The following is a 17657-nucleotide window of genomic DNA, read 5'->3' as shown; positions in this document are numbered from 1 at the left end:
GAAAACACTCTGCAGGATATTATCCAAGAGAACTTCCCCAATCTAGCAAGGCAGGCCAACGTTCAGATTCAGGAAATACAGAGAACGCCACAAAGATACTCCTCAAGAAGAGCAACTCCAAGACACATAATTGTCAGATTCACCAAAGTTGAAATGAAGGAAAAAATGTTAAGGGCGGCCAGAGAGAAAGGTCTGGTTACCCTCAAAGGGAAGCCCATCAGACTAACAGTGGATATCTCGGCAGAAACCCTACAAGCCAGAAGAGAGTGGGGGCCAATATTCAACATTCTTAAAGAAAAGAATTTTCAACCCAGAATTTCATATCCAGCCAAAATAAGCTTCATAAGCGAAGGAGAAATAAAATACTTTACAGACAAGCAAATGCTGAGAGATTTTGTCACCACCAGGCCTGCCCTAAAAGAGCTCCTGAAGGAAGCACTAAACATGGAAAGGAACAACTGGTACCACCCGCTGCAAAATAATGCCAAAATGTAAAGACCATCGAGACTAGGAAGAAACTGCATCAACTAACGAGCAAAATAACCAGCTAACATCATAATGACAGGATCAAATTCACACATAACAATATTAACTTTAAATGTAAATGGACTAAATGCTCCAATTAAAAGACACAGACAGGCAAATTGGATAAAGAGTCAAGACCCATCAGTGTGCTATATTCAGGAAACCCATCTCACGTGCAGAGACACACATAGGCTCAAAATAAAAGGATGGAGGAAGATCTACCAAGCAAATGGAAAACAAAAAAAGGCAGGGGTTGCAATCCTAGTCTCTGATAAAACAGACTTTAAACCAACAAAGATCAAAAGAGACAAAGAAGGCCATTACATAATGGTAAAGGGATCAATTCAACAAGAAGAGCTAACTATCCTAAATATATATGCACCCAATACAGGAGCACCCAGATTCATAAAGCAAGTCCTGAGTGACCTACAAAGAGACTTAGACTCCACACATTAATAATGGGAGACTTTAACACCCCACTGTCAACATTAGACAGATCAACGACAGAAAGTCAACAAGGATACCCAGGAATTGAACTCGGCTCTGCACCAAGCGGACCTAATAGACATCTACAGAACTCTCCACCCCAAATCAACAGAATATACATTTTTTTCAGCACCACACCACACCTATTCCAAAATTGACCACACAGTTGGAAGTAAAGCTCTCCCCAGCAAATGTAAAAGAACAGAGATTATAACAAACTATCTCTCAGACCACAGTGCAATCAAACTAGAACTCAGGATTAAGAATCTCACTCAAAACCGCTCAACTACATGGAAACTGAACAACCTGCTCCTGAATGACTACTGGGTACATAACGAAATGAAGGCAGAAATAAAGATGTTCTTTGAGGCCAACGAGAACAAAGACACAACATACCAGAATCTCTGGGACGCATTCAAAGCAGTGTGTAGAGGGAAATTTATAGCACTAAATGCCCACAAGAGAAAGCAGGAAAGATCCAAAATTGACACCCTAACATCACAATTAAAAGAACTAGAAAAGCAAGAGCAAACATATTCAAAAGCTAGCAGAAGGCAAGAAATAACTAAAATCAGAGCAGAACTGAAGGAAATAGAGACACAAAAAACCCTTCAAAAAAATTAATGAATCCAGGAGCTGGTTTTTTGAAAGGATCAAGAAAATTGATAGACCGCTAGCAAGACTAATAAAGAAAAAAAGAGAGAAGAATCAAATAGACGCAATAAAAAATGATAAAGGGGATATCACCACCGATCCCACAGAAATACAAATTACCATCAGAGAATACTACAAACACCTCTACGCAAATAAACTAGAAAATCTAGAAGAAATGGATAAATTCCTCGACACATACACTCTCCCAAGACTAAACCAGGAAGAAGTTGAATCTCTGAATAGACCAATAACAGGAGCTGAAATTGTGGCAATAATCAATAGCTTACCAACCAAAAAGAGTCCAAGACCAGATGGATTCACAGCTGAATTCTACTAGAGGTACAAGGAGGAGCTGGTACCATTCCTTCTGAAACTATTCCAATCAATAGAAAAAGAGGGAGTCCTCCCTAACTCATTTTATGGGGCCAGCATCATTCTGATACCAAAGCTGGGCAGAGACACAACCAAAAAAGAGAATTTTAGACCAATATCCTCGATGAACATTGATGCAAAAATCCTCAATAAAATACTGGCAAAACGAATCCAGCAGCACATCAAAAAGCTTATCCACCATGATCAAGTGGGCTTCATCCCTGGGATGCAAGGCTAGTTCAATATACGCAAATCAATAAATGTAATCCAGCATATAAACAGAGCCAAAGACAAAAACCACATGATTATCTCAATAGATGCAGAAAAAGCCATTGACAAAATTCAACAACGCTTCATGCTAAAAACTCTCAATAAATTAGGTATTGATGGGACCTATTTCAAAATAATAAGAGCTATCTATGACAAACCCACAGCCAATATCATACTGAATGGGCAAAAACTGGAAGCATTCCCTTTGAAAACTGGCACAAGACAGGGATGCCCTCTCTCACCACTCCTATTCAACATAGTGTTGGAAGTTCTGGCCAGGGCAATTAGGCAGGAGAAGGAAATAAAGGGTATTCAATTAAGAAAAGAGGAAGTCAAATTGTCCCTGTTGGCAGACGACATGATTGTATATCTAGAAAACCCCACTGTCTCAGCCCAAAATCTCCTTAAGCTGATAAGCAATTTCAGCAAAGTCTCAGGATACAAAATCAATGTACAAAAATCACAAGCATTCTTATACACCAACAACAGACAAACAGAGAGCCAAATCATGAGTTAACTCCCATTCACAATTGCTTCAAAGAGAATAAAATACCTAGGAACCCAACTTACAAGGGATGTGAAGGACCTCTTCAAGGAGAACTACAAACCACTGAGGATACAAACAAATGGAAGAACATTCCATGCTCATGGGTAGGAAGAATCAATATGGTGAAAATGGCCATACTGCCCTAGGTAATTTACAGATTCAATGCCATCCCCATCAAGCTACCAATGACTTTCTTCACAGAATTGGAAAAAACTACTTTAAAGTTCATATGGAACCAAAAAAAAGCCCACATTGCCAAGTCAATCCTAAGCCAAAAGAACAAAGCTGGAGGCATCACACTACCTGACTTCAAACTATACTACAAGGCTACAGTAACCAAAACAGCATGGTACTGGTACCAAAACAGAGATATAGATCAATGGAACAGAACAGAGCCCTCAGAAATAACGCCGCATATCTACAACTATCTGATCTTTGACAAACCTCAGAAAAACAAGCAATGGGGAAAGGATTCCCTATTTAATAAATGGTGCTGGGAAAACTGGCTAGCCATATGTAGAAAGCTGAAACTGGATCCCTTCCTTACACCTTATACAAAAATCAATTCAAGATGGATTAAAGACTTAAATGCTAGACCTAAAACCATAAAAACCCTAGAAGAAAACCTAGGCATTACCATTCAGGGCATAGGCACGGGCAAGGACTTCATGTCTAAAATACCAAAAGCAATGGCAACAAAAGACAAAATTGACAAATGGGATCCAATTAAAATAAAGAGCTTCTGCACAGCAAAAGAAACTACCATCAGAGTGAATAGGCAACCTACAGAATGGGAGAAAATTTTTGCAACCTACTCATCTGACAAAGGGCTAATATCCAGAATCTACAATGAACTCAAACAAATTTACAAGAAAAAAACAAACAACCCCATCAAAAAGTGGGCGAAGGACATGAACAGACACTTCTCAAAAGAAGACATTTATGCAGCCAAAAAACACATGAAAAAATGCTCATCATCACTGGCCATCAGAGAAATGCAAATCAAAACCACGATGAGATACCATCTCACACCAGTTAGAATGGCAATCATTAAAAAGTCAGGAAACAACAGGTGCTGGAGAGGATGTGGAGAAATAGGAACACTTTTACACTGTTGGTGGGACTGTAAACTAGTTCAACCATTGTGGAAGTCAGTGTGGCGATTCCTCAGGGATCTAGAACTAGAAATACCATTTGACCCAGCCATCCCATTACTGGGTATATACCCAAAGGACTATAAATCATGCTGCTATAAAGACACATGCACACGTATGTTTATTGCGGCATTATTCACAATAGGAAAGACTTGGAACCAACCCAAATGTCCAACAATGATAGACTGGATTAAGAAAATGTGGCACATATACACCATGGAATACTATGCAGCCATAAAAAAGGATGAGTTCATGTCCTTTGTAGGGACATGGATGAAATTGGAAATCATCATTCTCAGTAAACTATCGCCAAGAACAAAAAACCAAACACCGCATATTCTCACTCATAGGTGGGAATTGAACAATGAGATCACATGGACACAGGAAGGGGAATATCACACTCTGAGGACTGTTATGGGGTCGGGGGAGTAGGGAGGGATAGCATTGGGAGATATACCTAATGCTAGATGATGAGTTAGTGGGTGCAGCACACCAGCATGGCACATGTATACATATGTAACTAACCTGCACAATGTGCACATGTACCCTAAAACTTAAAGTATAATAAAAAATAATAATAATAAAAAAATAAATTGTAAAGCATTTCTGGCATTAATTTCTTTTCATAAATTGTCACGACTTACACATACCATGTATGACATGTTTAGACTTTCTGACCTGCCCTAAACATCCCTCTTTTTAAACAACCAGTCATTTTACTTTAGGACAATAATTTACCAAAAAACATCCTTTCTTATGTAAAATCTCTTTATAACCTTCTTTGCATAGCTAGGGGACATGGATAATTCCATATATCCCCAGGCCTTATTTAGAATTTAATGTCTTCAAAATAAATTGAACAATTTTCAAAAGTCAAAGCAGTTTATGACCTTAAAGCATTTAGCAAACCTAATATCTGACCGGCATAATTTAGACAAAATGTGTTTATTTTATCAATAATCTTTAAAGCTGTTTTTATTTCCCAGTAATTACTAAAGTTACATGAACTAAAAGGCCTTACAGTTTTTATTTTGCTTTCAAAATATTTTATTTAAGCACTTGTTTTTGTTTAAGCCAATTAATTGGAGCTCTTTTATATAAACATTACACACAACACATATATAATTACACAAATAGACAGACATAAGAAGATTACTACAGTAGTTATAAGATTTTTCATTTGCCAGTTTTTAAGTTTCTTAATTGGTTATTGGCTTTAGGGTGGAGCCCTAGGAAGAACAGGGCCAGGAAATGGGTTTCTGGTGCCTCCTGTTTTTCCCAAGGAATCCAGGCTCTTAGAGCTTGAATATCTGCTTTTAATTAAGCTGACTTTTAACCATAGCACCCTTTAATAATATCCTTTTAAAATTTCTTATTACCCAGTTTGGCCAATATTTCTGGTTTTGAACTTTACCAAAGGTAACCTCCCAGGTGCTCAGCGAAAGGAAAACTTAGGATAGTCCATGGTGGAGAAGAGACTAGACAAGGTTATGTAGATATTAAACCAGAAAAGGCTTGCTTTCTAAGCAGGGAATTGAACCTGGACTTCTAGTGTGAAAGGCCAAAACCTTATGTACCAAGCTATACCACAGGGAAAGTTCCACTGTTCTTCCCAGAAGGAGTCTAGAGTAGTTAATTTTGAGCTTGTAGAGGCTTTTAACTACTTAAGATAATTTTTAGAGCTAACTATGACATAAAACCTAAAATTCGTGTTCCCTGGAAGGTGGAGACCAAGAGAAAGTACTGCCACGTGGTTACAAGGTCAAGCTCCCAAGGACATGAAACAAGATGGAGACCCCATCCAGTTTTTCATTTGTTTGTTTCAGGGACCTGCAGGAAAGTTTGTTATTGACCAGCCTGCTGGGCCATCTTGAGCAGCGAGCTTATGGGGTCCTAAGCCCATGTTTTATCTTAAGGCACCCCTTGACACAGAAAAACAAATTCATAGCACAAATATATCAGTTTAAGACTAGCCTCGGAATTCTTTTTTGCATTAATCAAAACTTTACAGAAGAGATAAACAGTGACTTTTTTCTTTTTCTTTCTTTTTTTTTTTTTTTGAGATGGAATTTCACTCTTGTTGCCCAGGCTGGAGTGCAATGGCGTGATCTTGGCTCACTGCAACCTCCGCCTCCTGGGTTCAAGTGATTCTCCTGCCTCAGCCTCCCGAGTAGGTGGGATTACAGGCACCTGCCACCACACCCAGCTAATTTTTTGTATTTTTAGTAAAGATGGGGTTTTGCCATGTTGGCCAGGCTGGTCTTGAACTCCTGACCTCAAGTGATCCGCCCACCTCAACCTCCCAAAGTGCTAGGATTACAGGTGTGAGCCACCGTGCCTGGCTTAAACAGCAATTTTTACCATTTAATCAACTGTCTGCACAGAGAGGGAGAAGCCAGAAATCTGACTGGTAAGAAATTCTTACCCTTTGGCCTGCATGCCAGGTTTCTGTGTTTCCTTTCCCTAAGTGGCCCCGGTAACCCAGCTTGCCACACCATCCCATTGGGGGACAAGCTGCATCATAAAGGAAAATTATCTTTTTTCATTCTGGCCAGAGTAAAACACATGTGATAAACAGACATTAGCCACTCTGCTTAGCACCCAATATCAAACTGACAAGGCTTAAATTTGCCCTCAGCTGGGCCCCATCATCTTTAATCCAACCTCTGACTAGGAGTTTCAACACATGGTCTCTGGGCATGATGGTTGCCCTGAGTAACAGAAAAGATGAAAAACAGAAAGGAGAGAGAGAAAAGGTTTGCCTATGGCAGGGTGGGGAAGGCAAAATGCTCAGGAAGACCAGAGAAAAACCAACCCATTGCAGTGATACTGAGAAGTTCAGGCGGCTGCAGCTGCTGTTGTAAAAGGATTTTTTTTCCAGCAGTCCCATCAGCTTTCAAGTTTTCCCTTTTGGGGGAGGAAAAAGCTCTCCGTGTCCCACGATCCTAATTCTGTCACCCATAGTTGTCAGCAAAGAGTGCAAGGCAGATTATTCCAAAGAAAACAGCAGTTGACATCCCGTAGTGCCAACCCTGTTCTTAGCCAAAAGGGACTTTACCAAGAGCCCTCATTTGTAAATGTACTTCAGTGCATTGTTGTTCATTCGGAACGTTCCACTGTAAGTTACCTTTAGTAAGATTTTGCCATTTCTGTAAGACTTCACTGCCTCCCAGGCCTAAAGTATAAGCCAGAAGGAACTCAGTTTTCCAGAAATTAAGGATTCCATTTTTACCTAAAATATTGGCTTTACTCTCAGGCTCTCTTGATTAACTTATCCAATGATTTTTTTTCCTACCGATGCAGGCAAGAAAAATGAACAAAAGGGTAGAGCACAAAAATCCTTGTGAATTTTCAAAAGCCAAACTCTATAACCCCTGAAATATTACTGCTTACTACCAGTTCCTTTCTGACCCAGTCAGATGTAAGAGGCCTCTAACTGGATCCAAGCCAGTTAATTCCCGGATCAAATCTGTTCCTGGACCCAGTCCAGTTTCTGTCACAACTCCAAACCCAGTTTGGATCAGAAATTTGCCCAAAGAAACTCAGAGAGCTCAAAACACAAATCCGTGGAGCTCCAAAATCCAAGAGGGAACTTACCCACGATGCCCAGCTGCTCTGAGAGATCAATGGACACAAGTGGGTCCTGCAGGTACCTTGCGTGTTTACTCAGCACTCCTGGGGGTCACTAGAAGCTCCACTTTGGATCCTGCTTCTGACATTATCTGATAAAAGAAAAACTTCAGCTGAGTTAAATTTAAAGGAGTTTAATTGAGCAATGAACGATTCACGAATTGGGCATCCCCAGAATCACAGCAGATACACAGAGACTCCAGGGGTGCCTTGTGGTCAGAACAAATTTATAGACAAAAAGTTAAAGTGATGTATGGGAATCAAAAGTGAAGTACAGAAACAGTGAGGTTGGTCACAGCTCTGCGTTTGCCTTGTTTGAACACTCAGCAGTCTATGAGTGGTTGAAGTATGACCACTGGAATGGCCAACACTCAACTATTGTTACGGTGCATACTATTAAGTTAGGTTTTCAATTTTGTCTGGCTATTAAGCTAGGTTACAGTTCATCTACAAGGACTCAAATATAGAAATACAGAGTCCTTCTCAGGCCATATTTAGTCTGCTTTAACAGATGCCTGTATTAATCTGTTCCACACTGCTAATAAAGACATACTCAAGACTGGGTAATTTGTAAAGCAAAGAGGTTTAACGGACTCACAGTCCCACAAGGCTGCCTCACAATCATGAAGGAAAGTGAATGAGGAGCAAGGTCACATCTTACATGGCAGCAGCTAAGAGAGAGCTTGTGCAGGGGAACTCCCATTTATAAAGCCATCAGATTTCATGAGATGTATTCACTACCACAAGAACAGAATGGGGTAAACTGCCCCCATGATTCAATCTCCACGTGGCTCTGTCCTTGACAGGTGGGGATTATTACAATTCAAGGTGAGATTTGGGTGGGGACACAGCCAAACCATATCAGTGCCATACTAGCAGAGTCAAGCCGAGTTGAACTGGGACCACTTCACACACACACCAAAAGTTACTAGCACTTAAAGTGGGTATATCATTTAGAGGGAAGTCTGTCATTGTCCCTGTTCCAGGACCAGAGCTGTGGCTCAGAGATTTTGCCCAAACGTAGAGAAGCACGCTGTATAACAGAATACTTAAAATCTCTCCCCAAAGAAATTGACTTCATTTCCAACAAACCATGGACAATTTCAAGCCTAAAGTCACTCTCAAAAACAGTGAAAGTTTGTGAAAAGCAATTGGGAAAAAATTGATAGATTTGTTAGAGATATAGCCTAAGTTGTAAGCTGGATGATTTGCTATAGAGAAATAGAAAGCAAGACATCTGGGAGGAACCCTCTTAGGGTCAAAACAAATCTCAAAAACTGACCTCAGGAACAATTTTTTAAGAAGAGCCCAAATTTTTGGGTCAGTTTGTAAAACAATCTATATTCCAGGGCATTGTTGAAAGCAACAGAGCCATCAGCCAGCAAGTAAGTAGTGGAGCATAATACCTGGGTATGACCAGAGAAAAAGACAAAAGAGAGCTCTCCCAAATCCACTGTGTTGCCAGCTGACTGTGAGCATATCAAACTGCATCCCCTGAGAAACAACTTTATAGACTTTATGCTTCAGAGGAAGAAATAAATTACACCAAAATAATCTAGTCAATCAACAAACAAGTAAATAAGCAAATAACAACAAGCCCCAGAAGACCAGTACCCAGTATTATTACAATATACTACCTAAAATTTTTCAACAAAAAATTATGAGACATATAAAGAAGCAGGAAAGAATAAGCAATACACTGAAAAAAAATTGTAGACAACAGAAACTGCCTGGAAGACTTACCAGATGTCAGATTTAACAGACATCAGATGTCAGATTGAACAGAAAAAGTTTTCAAAGTAGAGATTATAAATAATTTCAAATAATATTTTCAAATAAAATGGGCCATGATTTAAAAAGTATGATTACAATGTCACATCAAAAGACACCTAAAAGTGAAAAAGCTAAAGCTAAAGACAATAAGAAAATTTTGACTACATCAAGATAAAAATGACTCATCACTTAGACTGAAACTCCAGGAAGATTAACAGCTGATGTCTCAGCAGAATTAATTGAGGCCAGAAGGACAACATATTCAGAATGAACCAAAAAAAGCAATTATTAACCAAGAATTCTATATCCACCAAAATAAGGTAAAATAATGACATGTCCTAATAAAAACAGAGGGAATGTGTTGCTAGCAGACCTACCTTATAAGAAGTACTAAAAGAAATTCATGCTACAAACAAGTGAACCCTGAGAGTAATTGGAATATATATATGAAAAAAGCAAAAAGAACCAGGAAAGGTAATTATCTAATTGTAAAAGTCAAGGCATTTCTTTTCCTTTCTTCTTCTAAAAGATTTTAAAAGTAATTGTATAAAGAAGTATATAATGTGATGTTGAGCCTATAACATAAAAATGTAATATTGGTCAATAATAGAACAAAAGAGGTGGGTGGGGGCAAAGCTGTATTGGATTAAGGAAATGACTTCAGATGGCAACTTGTATGCACAGGAACAAATGAAGAGAACCAGAAATGATAAATTAAAAGGCTAACACAACAAAAGCTATAAATGTGTGTGTGTGTTTGTGTGTGTCTGTATTTGCTCTCCTCAATATCCTTAAAAAACATAAAAGCGTGTAAATTTATCATTACAACAATGCATTGTTGGGTTTGTAATATTCAGATATTAGATGTAATAGATGTAATATGAATAAGAATAGTATCACAAAAATGGGGGGAAGGGAACAAAGGTATATAGAAGTAACATTTCTGTATCTCACTAGAATTAATTTAGTATAAATCTCAAACTGATTATTATAAGTCACAGTGTATATAGAAAAACCCTAGAGTAACCACTAATAACTCAAAAATATAGTGAAAAAATAATTTAAAAAATTAAAATGCTACATTATAAAATATTCACTTCATGCAAAAGAAAGCAGTAAAGCAGAAACAGAGGAACAAGAGAAACATGAGATATATAAAAAACAAAAATGGCAAACATAATTCCAACTATATCAATAATAGCATTAAAGGTGAATGGACTAAATAATCCAGTCAAAAGGCAGAGATTCTCAGACTAGATCAAAAAACAAGAGTCAATACATGCTATCTATGGGAAACACACTTTAGATTCAAAATACAAATAGACTTAAAGTAAAAAGATGAAAGAGAAATATCATGCAAACAGCAACCACAAGAAAGTTGGAATGGTTATACAATTACCTGACAAAATATACCTTAAAACAAAAGATATTACTATAGATAAAAGAAGATGTTTTTTAAAAGGTCAATTAACCAGAAAGATACATCAATCAAAAATATATATGCACCTAACAACAGAGCACCAATACATATGAAGCATAAATTGATTTAAATGAAGAGAGAAATAGACAATTCATCAATAATTGGGTACTTCAATACCCAATTTTCACTCATGGGTAGAACACTAAGCATAAGAACCACAAGGGTGTAGGAGATAAAAACAGACATAAGCACCACCTACTGGCCTGGAAGTTGAATGGTGCAACACAACAGGAAATCTGCTGACTCAAGTGCAGAGTACTGGAGAATGAAATAAGCTTCCTGAGACTTCCATCACCCTGAGCCCACAGGAGGCAGTGAGTGAGGCTGCTCACATGCTTAGCACATCACTACAACAACCAGCATTTGAGAAAGTCACCATACAAAGGCTATTACCAAAGAATTTATACAGACTCTTTGCCACTGAAAATACCCAGAACCAAACCCAAAGGACACTACACCACATCATACAGTACAGACACCTCCTCAAGGGGGCAAAATAATCCTGTCCAAAGGGAAGCAAAATTAAAAAATAAGAAGGAGAGACAGCTTATCCAGATAAGAAACAACCAGGGAAACAACTCTGAAAGTATGGAAAAAACAGAATGTAACAACACCCCCAAAGGGGAATACTAACTCCTCAGAACAAATCCTAACCAAAATGAAGTCTTTGAAATATCAGATAAATAATTCAAAATACTGATTTTAAAGAAGCTCAGTGAGATCCAAGAAAAAGCAGAAAACCCATACAAATAGAAAAGCAATTTAGGACATGAAAGAAGAGATAAATGTCATTTAAAAAAATACACACACACAAAACTTCTAGAAATAAAAGATTCAGTCAAGGAGTTACAAAATACATTGAAAGTGTTAACAATAGGCCAAGTGGAAGAAAGAATTTCAGAGCTGGAAGACAGGTCTTTCAAATTAACTCAGTCAGACATAATATTTAAAAAATTTTTTTTAATGAACAAAGCCTTTGTGAAATATAAAAGTGTACAAACCTGTAAGTTATAGGTATTCCAGAGGGAGAAGAAGAAAAAGCAAAAAGTGTGAAAAACCTATTTGCAGAAATACTTCAAGAAAACTTCCCTGGTTTTAGGAGAGATTTTGACATCCAGATACAAGAAGCTCAGAGAATTTCTGGATAATACATTGCAAGAACTTCACCAAGACTATCCAAAGTCAATGTAAACAAAATAATCCTGAATGGCAAGAGAGAAGTGTCTAATTGCATTTATATATATATAATCATATCGGACTAGTAGCTGTCTTCTCAGCAGAAAACTTACAATCCAGAAGAGATTGGGGGTCTATTTTTAGCATCTTTAAAGAAAAAAAAATGCCACCCAATAATTTTATATCCTGTCAGATTAAGCTTCATAAATCAAGGAGAAATAGGGAATTCATCAACACTAGACTGGTCCTCCAAGAAATGCTCGAAGGAGTTTTGTTTTTGTTGTTGTTGTTTTAGTAGAGATGGTGTCTCACTATGTTGACCAGGCTGGTCTAAAACTCTTGGCCTCAAGCAATCCTCCCACTTAGCTTCCCAAAGTGCTGGAATGACAGGCATGAGCCACTGCCCAACCTCAAAGGAGTTCTAAACATGGAAATTAAACAACAACATTCACCATCATAAAAGATCACATAAGTAAAAAGCTCACAGACCTTATAAAGCAATTACACAATTGAAATCCCAAGGCAATCAGCTAACAACAACATGATAGAAACAAAACCTCACATATCAATATTAACCTTGAATGTATGTGGCCTAAATGCTCCACTTAAAAGATACAGAGTGGCAAACTGTATAAAAAAGGAAAACCCAAACATGTACTGCCTACAAGAGACATACATACTGGCTAAAGACAGCTATAGAATCAAAGTAAATGGGTTGAAAAAGATATATCACGCAAATGGAAAACAAAAGCAAGAGAGAGTAGTCATCCTCAATCAAATAAAACAGACTTTAAACCAACAACAGTTAAAAAAAAAAGGGGGCAAAAAAGGTCATTATAAAATGATAAAGAAGTCAATACAACAGGAAGATTTAACTATCCTAAATATATCTGCACCCAACACTGGAGCACCCAGATTCATAAAATAAATACTACTAGACCTAAGAAAACATATTGATAGCAATATAATAAGAGTGGGGGACTTCAGCACCCCACTGACATCACTAGACAGATCATCAAGGCAGAAAATCAACAAAGAAACTCTGGACTTCAACTGGGATGTAGACCAAATGAATCTAATAGAGATTCACAGAACATTTTATCTAACAGAATATACATTCTTCTCACCTCCACATGGAATATATTCCAAAATTGACTATATATTTGCCCATAAAGCAAGTATCAATAAACTCAGAAAATCAAAATAATAACAAGTATCTTCTCAGATCACAGTAGAATAAAATTATAAATCAATACCAAGAGGAACTCTCAAAACTACACAAGTACATGAAAGCAAAACTACTTGCTCCCAAATGACCTTTGGGTAAATAATAAATTAAGGCAGAAATTGAAAGACTTCTTGAAACAAATAAAAATAGAGACACAACATACTAAAATCTCTAGTATACAGCAAAAGCAGTGCTAAGAGGAAATTCTGTAGCATTAAATGCCCTTATAAAAAAAGATAGAAAAATCTCAAATTAACAACCTAACATTGAACCTCAAGGAACTAGAAAAATAATAATAATCCAAACCCAAAACTAGTAGCAGAAAAGAAATAACAAAGATCAAAGCAGAACTAAATGAGATTGAGATTATTTTTAAAGACATAATGAATCAATGCGACAAAAAGTTAGTTTTTTAAAAGGATAAACAAAATTGATAGATTGCTAGCTAGATTAACCAAGAAAGAGAGATTCAAATAATTATAATCAGAAATGAGAAAAGGGACATTAAAAATGATGCCACAGAAATACAAAAGATCCTCAGAGACTACTATAAACACCTCTATGCACACAAACTAGAAAACCTAGAGGAAATTGATAAATTCCTGGAAACCTACAACCCTCCAAGATTGAACCAGGAATAAATAGAGATCCTGAACAGACCAATAATAAGTAATGAAATTGAGTGAGTAATAAAAAAATCTTTCAACAAATAAAAGCCCAGGACCGGAGAGATTCATAGCCAAATTTCACCAGATACACAGAGAAGAGCTGCTACCAATCTTACTGAAAATATTCCAAAAACTCAAGGAGGAGGGATTCCTCTGTGACTCATTCAATGAAACCAGTATCATCATGACACCAAAATCAGGCCAGTACACGCACACAGAAAAGCAAACTACAGACTAATATCTCTGATGAGTATAGAGGCAAAAATTCTCAAGAAAAAACCAGCAAACTGAATCCAACAGCACATCAGAAAAATAATTAATTATGATCAAGTGGGTTTTATTTCTGGGATGCAAGTACGGTTTAACATCTGCAAATTGAAAAGGGTGATTCATCACACATACAAAACTAAAAAGAAAAACCATATGATTATCTCAATACATGAAAAAAGGCATTCAATAAAATCCAAAGTCCCTTCATAATAAAAACCCTCAACAAACTAGGCATCAAAAGACCATACCTGGCTGCTCTGCCTATGGAGTAGCCACTATTTTATTCCTCTAAAAAAAATAAAAATAAAAATAAAAAAGTACCTAAAAATATAAGACCCACCTACAACAAACCCACAGTCAACATTATACTAAATGGAAAAAAGTTGATTGCATTACCTTTAAGAACTGGAACAAGACAAGCATATCCAATCTCAGCATTCCTATTGCACATAGTACTAGGAGCACTACTCAGAGCAATCAGGTAAAAGAAAAAAAGCATCCAAATTGGAAAAGAGGAAGTCAAATTATCTCTGCCCACTGATCACATGACCATATACCTAGAAAACCCTAAAGACTCCTCCAAAAACCCCTAGACTTGATAAACAAATTTCAATATACAAAATAAACATACATAAATCGACAGCATTTCTATACACCAATAACATTTAAGCTGAGCGCCAAATCAAGAACTCAATCTCATTGGCAATAGCCACACACACACACACAAAATACCTAGCAATTAATTTAATCAAGAAGGTGAAAGATCTCTACAAGGAAAACTACAAAATACTGTTGAAATAAATCATAGATAACACAAATGGGGAAACATCCCACACTCATGGATTGGAAGAATCAGTATTGTTAAAATTACCATACTGCTTAAATTAATCTACACATTCAACTCCTATCAAATTACCAATGTCATATTCCACAGAATTAGAAAAAAATTCTAAAGTTCACATGGAATCAAAAAAGAGCCTGAATAGCCAAAGAAATCCTAAGCAAAATGAACAAATCTGGAGGCATCACATTGCCTGACTTCAAATTATAATACAAGGCTACATTGACTAAAACAGCATGATACTAGTACAAAAATGGCACAAATATCAATGGAACGGAATAGAAAACCTGGATATAAAGCCACAAACTAACAATCAACTGATTTTTGACAAAGTCAACAAAGATAAACAATGGTGAAAGGACACCCTATTCAATAAATAGTGCTGGGAAAATTGGCTAGCCATATGCAGAAGAATGAAACTGGACCTCTATCTCTCACCATATACAACAATTAACCCAAGATGGATTAAAGATTTAAATGTAAGACCTGAAACTATAAAAATCCTAGAAGAAAACATAGAAAAAACTATTCTGGACATTGGCATAGGCAAATAATTTTATGATGAAGATCCCAAAGGCAAATGTAACAGGAATGAAAATAGACAAATTGGACTTAATTAAACTAAAAAGCAAAAGAAATAATCAACAGAGTAAACAGACCACCCACCAAATGAGAGAAAATATTTGCAAATTATGCCTCTGACAAAGGACTAATATCCAGAATCTATAAGGAATATAAATAACTCAACAAGAAAATAACAACCCCATTAAAACTTGGGAGAAGAATATGAATAGACATTTCTCAAAAGAAAAAATACAAGCAGCCAACAAACACATGAAAAAGTGCTTAACATCAGCAATCATCAGAGAATTGCAAATTAAAATCAGAATATCATCTTATACCAGTCAGAATGGCTACTATTAAAAGGTGAAAAAACAATAAATGGCATGGATGTGGAGAAAAGGGAACATTTGTACATTATTGGTGAGAATTTGAACTAGTTCAACCTCCATGGAAAACAGTATGGAGATTTCTCAAATAACTAAAAATAGAACTACCACTGGACCCAGCAATCCCACTACTGGCTATCCACCCAAAGAAAAGGAAACAATCATATCAAAAAGGCATCCGTATTTGTATGTTCATTGCAGCATTATTCACAATAGCCAAGTCATGGAAGCAACCTAAGTGTCCATCAACAGTTGACCAGATAAAGAAAATGTGGCATACATACACGATGGGATACTACGTAGCCATAAAGAATGAAATTATGTCCTTTGCAGCAACATGGATGGAGCTGGAGGCCATTATACTAAGTGAACTAACTCAGAAACAGAAAATCAAATACCACATGTTCTCACTTACAATAGGGAGCTAAACAATGGATACACATGGACCTAAAGATGGAAATAATAGACACTAGAGACTCCAAATGAGAGGAGGTTGTGGAGGGGAGCAAGGGATAAAAAACTATCTATCAGGTACAGTGTTCACCATTTGGGTAATGGGTAAACTAGAAGCCCAGTCCCCACCAGTACACAATATACCGATGTAACAAACAAGCACATATACACCCTGTGGATAAAATAAAATAAATAAAAAGAACTGGGAGTCCAGAATAAAACCATGTGTCTTTAGTCAACTTATTTTTTACAAAGGTGTCAAGACAATTCAATAGTGAAAGAATAGCTCTTTCAACAAATCATTGCTAAAACAACTACATAGCCACATGCCAAAAAAAAAAAAAAAAATGGGCCCTTACCTCACACCATAGGTAATAATTAATCCAAGATGGATTAAGAATATACACGTAACAGCTAAAACTATAAAACTCTCAGAAGAAAATATAAAGGAAATATCTTCATGCCTTGGATTTTGAAATGGATATGACACCAAAAGCATGAGCAAGAAATGAAAAATTAGATAAGTTGGCTTTAATTAAAATTAAAAACTTTTGTGCATCAAAGGAACTATCAACAAGGTAAAAGAAAACCCACAGAATTAGAGGAAATATTTGCAAATCATATGTCTGCTAAGGGCATAGTATGCAGAATATATAAGAACTCTTACAACTCAACAATTCAACAATAAGAAGACAATTTTAAAATGAGCAATCTCAGAAAACATTTATCCACAGAAAATATACAAATGGCCAATAAACACAAGAAAAAAATGCTTGACATCATTAGTCATGAGTTTCCTGGGGCTGCCATAACAAAATACCATAGAGCAGGTGGCAGAAAAAAATTTTTTCACAGTTCTGGAATCTAGAAGAACAAGATCAAGGTGTCAGCAGGTTTTCTTTCTTCTGAGGCCCTTCTCTTTGGCTTGCATATGTTTGTCTTCTTGCTCTGTCTTCACATGGTCTTTCTTTTGTGCACATAGATCCCTGGTGTCTCTCTATTTGTCCTAATCTTCTCTTCTTATAAGGATATCAGTCAGATTGGGCTAGGGCTCACCCTAACAGCCTCATTTTAACTTAATTACCTATTTAAAAGGCCCTATCTCCAAACACAGTCACATTCTGAAATACAGGAGATAAGGGATTCAACATATGAACCCAGGAAGTTTGGGGAAGATAAT

The 17657-nt window shown here is 36.8% G+C and overlaps 1 long non-coding RNA gene across 1 annotated transcript in view; it reads right to left on the bottom strand.

Annotated features, from left to right (window-relative positions):
* Nucleotides 1-17657, bottom strand: part of LINC02456 (long intergenic non-protein coding RNA 2456) — a 432422-nt gene that overhangs the window by 399634 nt on the left and 15131 nt on the right. The window contains exon 4 of the long non-coding RNA XR_007063427.1: nt 7606-7730. This is a non-coding gene — a long non-coding RNA (long intergenic non-protein coding RNA 2456). The remainder of the gene's footprint in view (nt 1-7605; nt 7731-17657) is intronic.

The sequence above is a fragment of the Homo sapiens genome, chromosome 12 (genome assembly GCF_000001405.40).
Source record: "Homo sapiens chromosome 12, GRCh38.p14 Primary Assembly".
Taxonomy (NCBI): Eukaryota; Metazoa; Chordata; class Mammalia; order Primates; family Hominidae; genus Homo; species Homo sapiens.
The sequence above is the reverse complement of the archived record's forward strand: the minus strand, read 5'-3'. Positions and strand labels throughout refer to the sequence as shown.